This window comes from Homo sapiens, chromosome 5 (genome assembly GCF_000001405.40).
Source record: "Homo sapiens chromosome 5, GRCh38.p14 Primary Assembly".
NCBI classification, from domain to species: Eukaryota; Metazoa; Chordata; class Mammalia; order Primates; family Hominidae; genus Homo; species Homo sapiens.
Genome location: NC_000005.10, coordinates 58930245 through 58942082, shown reverse-complemented (window position 1 = coordinate 58942082; position 11838 = coordinate 58930245). Strand labels below are relative to the sequence as shown.

General features: G+C 42.6%; 2 annotated features.

The window, feature by feature from the left end:
- Positions 3859-4457: an enhancer, noted in NCBI's record as "H3K27ac-H3K4me1 hESC enhancer chr5:58233453-58234051 (GRCh37/hg19 assembly coordinates)". NCBI's record gives its function as "activates a minimal SCP1, AML or CMV promoter by ChIP-STARR-seq in primed H9 embryonic stem cells {active_cell/tissue: H9 hESC(primed)}" and the evidence as "EXISTENCE:reporter gene assay evidence [ECO:0000049][PMID:30033119]".
- Positions 4458-5058: an enhancer, noted in NCBI's record as "H3K27ac-H3K4me1 hESC enhancer chr5:58232852-58233452 (GRCh37/hg19 assembly coordinates)". NCBI's record gives its function as "activates a minimal SCP1, AML or CMV promoter by ChIP-STARR-seq in primed H9 embryonic stem cells {active_cell/tissue: H9 hESC(primed)}" and the evidence as "EXISTENCE:reporter gene assay evidence [ECO:0000049][PMID:30033119]".

Here is an 11838-nt window from a genome sequence, read left to right as displayed (position 1 = left end):
TGTAGGCTTTCCTCTTCAATAGGTCCATTCTTATCTCTAACTGAGACCACCTGCATCCTCATAGCTTAACTATCAGTATGGAAAACAAACCATCTGTGTCACTATGACTTTACTATTTGTTCAAGAAAATTCTTGTCCAGGAAGATAAGACGGTGTACAATAAATAACATCAATGTTTACTTCAGAAAATTTCTGAAAACCAATTTATTCAGATGATAGATTGCTCATTTGAAAAAATAAACCCCTTTTCAGGACAACAGATTCCTCTCCAAGTCTAATAACTTGTTTATCAAAGATCTATTTTTCAGGACTTCAAGACCCTCTTATCACAATGTCCACCAATTCTAAACTATAATATCATGAACTTTGCCGAATTTCCACCAGATTTCTTCCTTGAAAGGCCTGACTTTAAACCACTTGAGCTCAGACCCTTAATGTTTATAAATATCTACCTGTGACCTCTCCCTTTTGAGAATTATAAGGACTTTTTCAAGGTGTTGCACTCTCTTACTGCAGGTTAATAAACTTAGCTTTGTTTGATCAATAGTTTATTCTGATGGTCTTCTTTGAAAGTCAGCAATCAACAGTTCTGGGGCCTCAGTAGGATTCACTCAATAATTTCTGCTCCTGCAGTTTAAGAACCTTAGCCCTAAACAGTGTGTTCTTCTGAAGTTTGCCATTTGGAAGCCTCCCCCACTGCAGTGTTAAGGTAAGTCTCTCATTGGATTTGAGTCCCGGTGTCCTTTCCATAAAGCTCTTAAATTGTTTATTTTTCTTCCTAGAAATAAGAAACTTTTAAGAAATTCCTGGATTATCTGATCAGATTTGAAAATGTTTATTCTTTGTGGAAATGTTTTATTACTAGTAACATTACTCTTTTTGTCTTTTATCCTATTTGTTGTGAGTCTATGAGAAGAAGCTCACAGGGAAGAAGACAGCCGTAGACCTGGCAATTTTGTCCTCAAACTGGCTCAAAGATACAATAATATCAGCGGGTCTCATCAAACTGGCATTCTTATAGAATAAACTTTGCTCTGGGTCACTTACTAATATCTTACAGAAAATTTATAGCAGCAGTTGTATATTGAGGGTGTGAATAAAAACCACCAGAGAAGCTTTTTGAAAAAATACTATGAATAGATTTCTGCTTCTGGCCAAAATGAAGAAACAGGGACCAGATTTACTCTCCAGTAAACCAGTGGAAAAAAAAACAGACACAATATTGAAAAATAAAAAGATTTTTCAAGACATCAGGCAATGAAGAATAGTGATCCAAGAGAAACAAGAAACAAGATGAATCTTATGTTCGCCACAGCTTACTGTCTGGAGTGAGTATCAAGACTGTGGTACAGAAAGGGAAAACCCAGATGGAACCCTGCCATCTCCCTAAGTGGAGTCTGGGGAGGGCAAAGTGAGTAGAGTTTGCAAGGAAAGATATGGGAAAGGAGACAGCTGTGCAGAGAGAACACTGGGGATCTGTACAGGGTCTTCAGCTGAGCATGAGTCAGCATATGCATGTGAGGAAACTACCCATGACTGGGGAAAGAATCAGCTGGAATGATTACGGGGTATAGAATCCAGGGCTCAGAATCATTCCTGTTTCTATAGGAAATGGGCATTGAGTAGCATACTTGGAAGAATTTTTGCTTCAGTCATGCAGTAACATAGAACTTAGACTAAATACTACTCTGATACCACATAATGAAACTCAAAATAAGACCCAAAAGAATCAAACTGTTTATAAGTAACTGAGTTTCAAAATAAAGTTCAAGAATATTTATAGAAATACCATCTAACAAAGCACAAAATTAAGATAAAGGGTCAAACTATTTGCAAGTAATTTTAAGTGTGTTCTAGAACAAAGTTCAAAAGTATTTATAGAAATACAAAAGGATCCAAAAACTGTCCACAAAAATATGACCCATAATGAAGAGAAAAATCAGTCATTTGAAACTAACCCAGAAATGACAAAGATGATAGAATCGGCAAAGACATTAGAAGAACTGTAATTGTACTTCGCATGTTCAAGAAGCCAGAGGAAAGACTGAACATGGTAAGCAGAAACATGGAAGATATAAAAAGACTAAAAATCAAACTTTAGAGATGAAAACATTATGTGAGATGAAAAACACACTGAGTAGAATTAAAGGCAAATTGGAAATTTCAGAAGACTAGTGACTTTAAGAATTGAGAGATAAAAAGTACACAAAATGAGAAACAGAAGTGTGTCAGTGAGTTATGGGACAACTTCAAACTAATGCGTAAATTGCAGTCCCTGAAGGAAATGAGGGATATGTTGGAAAAAAATATTTGAAAAAATAATGGCCAAAAATCTCCCAAAGTTTATGAAAACCACAGATTCAAGAAGGTCAACAAATTGCTTAAAAATAGAGAAAGTCTAATATTAGGATACAAGGTCTTGACCAGGTGTGGTGGTTCATGCCTGTAATCCCAGCACTTTGGAAGGCCGAGTGGGAGGTGAATCACTTGAGGTCAGGAGTTCAAGACCAGCCTGGCCAACATGGTGAAAGCCTGTCTCTACTAAAAACACAAAAATTAGCCCGGCGTGGTGGTGCACACCTATAATCCCAGCTACTCGGGAGGCTGAGACAGGAGAATCACTTGAACACAGGAGGTGCAGGTTGCAGTGAGCCGAGATTGTGCCATTGCACTCCAGCCTGGGTGACAAAGTGAGACTCCGTCTTAAAAAAGACAAAAACAAAAACAAAAACAAAAAAATGGAAATAAGGTCTCAAATTAATAACTTCAGCTTACACCTTAAAAAAAATTAGAAATATCATTAGGGTCAGCAGAGCATAGCCATATGTTCCAATAAAACTTTATTTACAAAACAGATGGTAAGAGAGCAGATTTGGCCTGCTGGCAATTGCTTGCTGACCCTGGCTTAATCTTGTAAGATTGTGCAGCAAACAAAGAGACCCTAAAATTAGGCAATTTGGATATTAATCCCCCTCCGCTGAGTATGGCTACTCTGGCTCTTCAAATTAGGGATGGGATCTGTTCTCTTGTTTTAATCTGGACACTCTTGGCTCCTGGCATAGAAGTCTCACCATGACTCCTCACTGTAGCATCACTCTGTGTTACAGCGCTCAAATGCATGAACTCAGTCTTAAAAATGCTGCTGCGCAGCCATAGCACTGTCAAATCATCCAACCAAATGTCTATCCGACAAAAAGCAGGAAAATTGCCTACCAGGAAACCTGATTCATGATCACACCACAAAGTACAGTGCAGATTCAGATGGATCAAGTCCCCACATGGTAATGGCTATCCTCCATCACAGCTGAAGAATGATCACACAGAGAACCGAGAAATGAGTCTCCCGCTTCCTCCTGTGGGTTAACTCATCGATACTGAAAACTGAGACCACTTAAACGTCAACAAGAATTGACTATTTGTTCCAGGAAATTCTAGCCCAGGAAAATAATTCTGTCTAACAATAAATTGCTGTTTCCTTCCGGAAATTCCTGAAAACCAATTTATTCAGACAACAGGTTGCTCACCTGGGGAAACAGCTTGCTTAAGCAACCACTGTTTACTGAATCAGGTAGCTTCAAGACACTCACCTTGGCTGTATCCATCAATCCTAAACTGCTATATAATAAATTTTGTCTAAGCCCCATAAATCCTGGCCTTCAGAGAGCTGCCTCAAAGCATTTGATGCAAGACCACAAATCCTATAAACATCTGTCCGTAATCTTTCCCCTTCTGAGACACCATGAAAACGCTGTCAAGGTGTTGCTCTCCCTCACTGCCATTGTTAGATAACTTTGTTAATCAGTGGCTTCTTCTTGTGGTTGTTTTTAAATGCATTGGAAATCGACATCTTCTTTAGGAAATTTTCCTTTTTTTCATATCCCAACTGTCGAAATGCCTCTGGACTGATTTCCCAGCGGTGCTAGACTCCTCTAGAGGACGCATCTCAAACTCTGATAAAAGGCCATTTTCCCACAAATTAATTTATTCATTTTGTAAAGTACAATGTTATGGTTTGAATGCACTTCCTCCACAGTTTAGATTAAAACGTATTCCCTGTTGTAATGATATTGACAAGTAGGGCCTTGGAGGGGCTCCAAGATGGCTAACTAGAGGCATCTGGTCCTTGCCTCCTCCATCAAGAAGTGAAACAGCGCATAATCACACGTTTAATACACCACCAAAAAGAGAACACTGGATTTAACGGAGAAGTGACAGAAAACACCTGAGGTGAGGAAGGAGCGCAAGCGGTAAGAGAGACAGTCTGCCAGGACTGGCTGGGAGCCTGGAGAGGCTCCCCAGTGTGAGGAAAGAGTAAATGACTTACCCACAGCGGTCTGCATTCCCATCATGGACTACTGCAATCCCAGCCCTACGAGAGCCCCTCGACCCACACAAGCCCTGTGACTAACATAGGGAGCGTCCTGGAGATCACAGATGGCATTGCTCCAGGGGGAAACTCACGCTAGGTCCCACACATCCCCTGAGCCCTAAGCAGCCACAGCAAGACGCCATTTTGAGAGCCCAGTCCCCAGCAGACTACATCCTGCCCTGAGGCCCAGCAACCCCTGCAACTCCGCATACCTGGAGCCCCACAGACATCCTCTGCTGAAAGCGGGGTGCTGCTGCCTCCAAGGCTGAAGCACAAGTCATTGACAGGGACCCAGGTGGCCCAGTAGCAGTCCTGCCATGCATTTACAAGCACTCTGAGGACAGACTACCCTACTTGTAGTTAGCAATTGGGCTGAAGCGAGCGCGCCCTAGCTGCCTATTTATGGCAGCTGCCACTGAAAGCAAGCCCGCCCCCGCCCCTCCCCTTCCCCTGCTCCCGCCCCCGCCCCTCCCCCTCCCCTGCTCCCGCCCCCGCCCCCGCCCCCAGTAGAAGGGCTGCCCTATGGCTGCTGCCTCCCACAACCAAATCATTTTTCTGGGAACCTGGGGATCATCTTGGCTCTGCCTATCACAGCCAGTGCCTGCACGCCCTGCTCCGGCATCCCCCTAGTGCCTGAGCACGCCATCCTCCTGTACCCTACTCCATTACGATGTGATTCCTTCGTGTTAAAACTGTGAGTACTTGCCAATGGCCCACCGTTTTACCCCTTTCGGGTAACACATGTGCATTCATACTAGGCACACGTTTTCTGTAAGGAACCAGATAGTAACTATTTTAGGTTATTTGGAGGAGGCAGGATACTCAAAGCAAAGCAGGAAGACTAATGCTGTGGTCAGGGGTGAGATCAGGTCAGGCAGCTTATGCCTGTAATCCCAGCACTTAGAGAGGCCGAGGCTGGAGGATTGCTTGAGCCCAGGAGTTTGAGACCAGCAAGGGCAACATAGTGAGACTCATCTCTCAAAAAATTAAAAAAGTATCCAGGCATGGTGGCACTTGCCTGTAGTATCAACTACTCAGGAGGCTGAGGTAGGAGGATCTATCCAGCTAGGGAGATCAAGGCTGCAGTGAGCCATGATCACGCCACTGCACTCCAGCCTGGGTGACAGAGTGTGAGACCCTGTCTCAAAAAACTAACTAAATAAATAAATAAAAGGCAAGATCAGCAGGGGTCTAACCCACAGAGCAACTAAGGCCAGAAGTAGAAGAGAAAATGGGGGAAAGGGCTGGACGATGAGATTGGTGTTACATGCAGAATTGTCAAGATTTGGCCGGGTGTAATCTGATAACTTCTTCTGTTGCTTCTTGCTTAAAAGATATGTAGGCCGGGAGCGGTGGCTCACGCCTATAATCCCAGCACTTTGGGAGGCTGAGGCGGGCAGATCATGAGGTCAGGATATCGAGACCATCCTGGCCAACACGGTGAAACCCCGTCTCTACTTAAAATACAAAAAATTAGCGGGTGCCTGTAGTCTCAGCTGCTCGGGAGGCTGAGGCAGGAGAATGGCGTGAACCTGGGAGGCGGAGCTTGCAGTGAGCCAAGATCTCGGCACTGCACTCCAGCCTGGGCAACAGAACAAGACTCCATCTCAGAAAAAAAAAAAAAAAATATGTAATATTGTCCCAGAGTCTACTGGAAGAAGAGTGATGCATTCCTGTTGCAGGAGGGCTACAGAATTTTGCATATTAGCTTACCTTATAAAAAGGATGCTCAGTGCAAGTGCCTCGGGCTGGGAGACACTGGAGGCAGATAAAAATGCAAGGCTAGATAAACTAATTTGCCATTCTCAATTATAGAGTTGATAATTAAAACCATGAGAGTTCTATAATATTTAGGATTTGCTCTATTAAGAGAAAGTAAGAAATTTAGGGGAAGATGGCCGGGCGCGGTGGCTAACGCCTATAATCCCAGCACTTTGGGAGGCCGAGGTGGGCGGATCACCAGAGGTCAGGGGTTCGAGATCAGCCTGACCAACATGGAGAAACCCCGTCTCTACTAAAAATACAAAAAATTAGGCGGACATGATGGTGCATGCCTGTAATTCCAGCTACTCAGGAGGCTGAGGCAGGAGAATCGCTTGAACTTGGGAGGTGGAGGTTGCAGTGAGCTGAGATCATGCCATTTCACTCCAGCCTGGGCAACAAGAGTGAAACTCCATCTCAAAAAAAAAAAAAAAAAAAAAAAAAAAAAAAAAAAAAAAAAAAAAAAGGAAAGAAAGGAAATTTAGGGGAAGATGCTAAAAGTTAATGGGAAAAGAATCAGCAAAATGACAGTTTTTAATCAACTCCACAGTGTTTCTTGACCATCTTTTGTGTCAAGACCCTAGAGAAGTGGCTAGAGAGGTGAGGAGGAAAGAACAAAGAGAGGGAATCGTATTCTGGATTTCCATGTCGATTGGATAATAAAATAGTGTGTTATGGATGACAAATCTGGGCAGAAACCAAAAAAAACAACAGTATGGAAATGGGATTTGGATTTGATCATGGGCAGGGATGTGGGTAAATTCAGTGATTTTGGAGTGGAATAAGATGGCTCAGGAATCTAGATGGTAGAAAATTTATACGTGTTTAATAATAAGCATACTTTGAATCTAATGGCAGAAAGTGATAGCACTGGTGACATAAGAGGCACAAATAACTGTGTTTCTTGAATAGATGGGCAAGCATGTTATATTTGGGGTAAGCACCATGTATCTGTGAATGGTGGGATTCTTCTTCCTGCCTCCTGAGGGACTTTACCTTGGACAATGATGTCATTATTGTTGGCTTCTTGGAAGGCGAAATCAAAGGATCTGAATGGGTTGAAATGACTTTGCGTTTATACCTAAATGTGAACAGTCCATTTGTAGACAGGCTTGTTGGTCTGGTAACTTCCCTTAGGATTTGGCTTTCTCCCTCTTTCTCTCTCTGACTCATTTGACCATCAGCTCCAGTTTCTCTCAAACTCCAGCTGAAAGCATTTATTTTCCTCCATTTCCCGTGCCCTTTAATTTGTGGCTCCATTTGCTCTTGTTTAGTATTAGTTACCCTTGGTGATTGTCTTTTCATTGGCAATAGTATGAAGTATTTGATGATACTGTTGTTTGGAGGAGGCTGGGGGAGGAAGTGAGTGATGTTATCAGAACTCCGGAACCTTTAAATCTGGTTTAATGCCACCGCACTGGGGGATTCTCAGGCTATGCAGGGACTTATGGGAGTACTTGATTTGTACACACTAGAAAGATCCTAAGAGATCCGTCCCAGTGCACGGTTCATAATATGACTTGGCTTTTAAATAGCTTTTCATTTGATTTGTAAAGAACTGATTCCCACAGTTTTGTGAAGGCATGGAAAACCCCTATTATTTTTCTGTCTCTGCACCCTCTTCACATGCAGCCCACGCAGTTCTTTGTTCTATGTGAAAGACAGAGGAATGGGTGGGGCTGGGAGGGGGAGAGAGAGAGAGAGAGGAGAGAGAGAAATAGAGAGAGGAACAGAGATATCACAGATCAAGCTTTGGAGTCTGTGATGGCCTTTTATTCTTAACTGCTGTGTGTAAGGCACTCCTTCACCTGATAGGCATAAAGAAATAATGGGTAGGTAGCGCTTGATTCTACACTAGTATCACCACCCCCACCACCCACACTACCACAGGATCACATTGCATAATTGCTTTCTTTTGCTTCCATGAAATATTTCTGATAATAAAAGTAATTAATAAGGAATACATGTTCATTTTTAAAAGTTTGGATAAAACCAAAAAGCATAAAAAGTCAAGAGAAAAAAAGTCTAGCACACCCAGCACAACCACTGTTAACACTTCATTGTCTTACCAATCAAGGATTGACTTAATAATTCATCAAATATTTGTTTAGTGCTTATAATATGCCAGGCATGATTTTAGTTGTGGCAAATACAGAGGTGAGCAAGCAAGGTCCCCACTGTTGTGAAAACATGTCCCTTGATCACTTGAGCCCAGGAGGCCAAGGCTGCAGTGAGCTATGATAGTGCCACTGCACTCCAGCCTGGGTGATAGAATGAGACCCTGTCTCAACAAAACAAAATAAAACAAAAACGTTCCCTTTTTTGTGTTCACCTCCTCCTGACTCTAACACCCTCCCCATTCTATACTTAGTAGACCTGGCTACAAAGGAGTATTAATGTAGGCTCTGTCTGAGATGTTTCCTGACTTTCTGTTTCCTGCAGAATCTTTTTTTTTTTTGAGATGGAGTCTCACTCTGTCACCCAGGCTGGAGTGCAGTGGCGCAATCTCGGCTCACTGCAAGCTCTACCTCCTGGGTTCATGCCATTCTCCAGCCTTAGCCTCCCAAATAGCTGGGACTATAGGCGCCCACCACCACGCCCGGCTAATTGTTTGTATTTTTAGTAGAGAGGGAGTTTCACCGTGTTAGCCAGGATGGTCTCGATCTCCTGACCTTGTGATCCGCCCGCCTCGGCCTCCCAAAGTGCTGGGATTACAGGCGTGAGCCACCGCGCCCGGCCTCCTGCAGAATCTCCTGTGTTTACTAGGCTGGACCTTTTCCTGTCCTTATACAAGTCTCTCCTTGTCTTATTATGCAAAATGGAGAAGGTCTACCTGTGGTTTTGGTGTGAACATTTATCCTGCAGAACATTTAACTAATCACTACAGCCTTTGGGGACTGACAAGGATTTATGGTGGAGTTGATGACTGACAAATAGAGAACTTTTTAATTTTCTTATGATTGTTTTTCGTTTGAGCCAGCAAGTTGCTGGAGTAGTTCTTGGGTTACTGGCCATGGTTTGTGGGTATCAGCTGCACTCTTAACCTGTCCATTTGTTTGTTTACTTATTTATTTATTTCACAAACTTCTATTGAGCACTAGTCAGTGTACTAGACACTGGTATTGCAGAGATAAGAAACAGCAGAGAATCTCCCTCCCCATTGTCCGGGGAGATGCCAGACAAGCAATGCATTGTGTTAAATGCTCTGACAGACACTGGTAGGACAACCAAAGGATGGTCACCCGACTTTGCTGCAGTTTGGGGACAGGTAGTTCAAAGAAGTCTTTTTGGAGGAGTGGTTGTCTGAGCTATGTCGTGAAACTTGAACAGAAGAAGCAGATGAAGGGTGGGGTAGCAATCCAGGAAGAAACAGCACATGCAAATACTAAGGAGCGTAAGAGAGCCTGGTGCATTGGAGAGACAACCAGTAATTCATCATGGCCAGATTTGTTTGCAGAGGACTAAATTGACAAGCCATGAAGCTGGGCAAATAGGAGTGATGTCAGATTAGAAGGATTGTTTCTGCTGTGCCCAGATGTTTCAATTTTGTCCTGAAGCCATTCAATAGCAACTGAAAGTTTTTTCAAAGACAGTGACAAGGATTGATGAATAGTATGAAGAGGGTGGGAAAGAGGAATTTTTTGTAGTAATCTAGGTGAGAGATACAGGACTAACAGAGGTAGAGAAAAGAGAAAAGACTTAAGAGATGTTACGCAAGGAGAAGCAATAGAAGTTCATGTCTGGCTGCGTGCTGGGGGATGATTCCCTGGTTTCTGATTGGACAACTGGGTGGCTGGCTATGCCATCCATTAACGTGTTGATATTGGTGGAGGTATTTACTTAAAAGATGGGCAAACATAAGGGATCTGTGGAGGAATAAGGAAACAAAAACAGCCAACTGGAAAGAAGAAAAATCAGGAACTAAGAGATCACATGTAAACCACTCAAGAATAATTTCAATGGCATGGTAGGAGCCAAAGAGAGGTAACAGTGGGTTAGGGAGTGAATGGGAGGCAGAGGGAAGAAACACCAGGAAGAGGAGGAGGGAGATTGTGCACTAGCAAGAGGAGTATCTAGTGTTATGGGGGTCATGGTGTTTTGTTTCGATTTAATTCTGAGATAGAATTCAGGACAAATGACGAGTAGAGAAGGTGAGGTGGAAGGATGAGACAAACGGAGAACTGACCAAACAAAGTCACTGAAGACAGATCCAGAACAGACCAGTAGTTTTCTACACAAAGGTGGCAGCTCTCTCCAGGGGGCATTTTGGAGATGTGTGGGACAGTTGGGGTTGTCACAGTGATTTGGGTGTCTTAAGAGAAGAGTCCAAGGCTGTGTTATGTCTTACAATGGGTAGCATAATGAAGAATAGTTCTACATTTAGAACAGTTCTCAAATGGTCCCCTAGGAAGTCAGGAAGGTGAACACCTATTTAGAATTATGTGAGTTTAGAAATTAACTCTGTTTTTCATATAAACAAAATGTAGTTTTTATACAGAATTAATGTAGACTACATTTTCCAAGGATGCTGCCACTGTGTCAATCAGGGAAAGATTGTACAGTGTTTTGCTGGGAGTTTTAGCAAGGGTTGTTTGTTGTTTTGGGAGGGTATTTTTGCTTCTATTTTTTGAGTTCTAATACTGAGCACCTGTATCAGTTTACACATTCATAACTGTCACATAGTGAGTCTACAGTAAGTGCAAGCATTTGTCTACTGAATTATGTATTCTGGCAATGCCTAAGCACTGAGCACATATTGAAATACACATTATTTCCCCCTTTATTTTATATTCACAGCATTAACTAAAATTAATTATATTTCTGGGTGGGTTATATTAATTTCTCAATAGTCAAGAGGAAGCGCGTTACAAAATATATATTTTTTTTTATTAAAAAAAGGTCACTGGGTCTGATCCAGTTGAGAATCACCAGCAAAGGTAGAGACATTTAGCAGGAGAAACCAATAGACACTGCTATACAGAAAGATTAAGCGAAAGAGATCCAAATAAGTCAAAGTTTGGGGGCCATGAAGTTGAATAAGTCATCCCATCCACCATCTTCTGTCAAATAGGCTAAGATGTGTGGAGAGTGGACAGTGAAGGAAGAAGTAAACTTGAGGAAAGTAACATAAGAGAGAGAGGAAGTCTGAAGAGCCACCCTGGTACGTGAGCACTGTTTGCCATGAGAAGGTTGCCAAGCAGTGTTGAAAACCCAGCTAAGGTCAGGGACCGTGGATTAGTCAAGAGTCTCAATCAGCACCATTGTATGACCTTTGCCAGAAGTACTCAGCTGGAGTATGTCTCTATGGGAGTAGAGAAAGAGGACGGCTGAACCAATCCAGGGTTGGAGTTTTCTTATGCAGGAGTAGCATGAGAATAAAAGGTTAAGACATTGAGAGCATTGACTGCCAGAGTGAGAGTGGTTTAATCAGTGAACTGTGATCGGGGCCCTAAGTGATAGTGAAGAGACCATTATGTCATAAAGGACCCTCCCGTTTATGTCCCTGGTCAATCTCAGGGGTCTCTAGTAGTAGTACATTCTTCCTCTTTCTATTCTAAGAGGGAAACCAGCTTTATTTCCTACCTGATGTGTTAGTCAGTGTTGCTCTCAAAAGATTTCCCTCTGTTTAGCTGCGTGAAATTTTTTTGCACTGATTTTCAGAGGCTGACATCTTCCTTAGACTCTGTCTAAGGTATTCCAATGGAAAC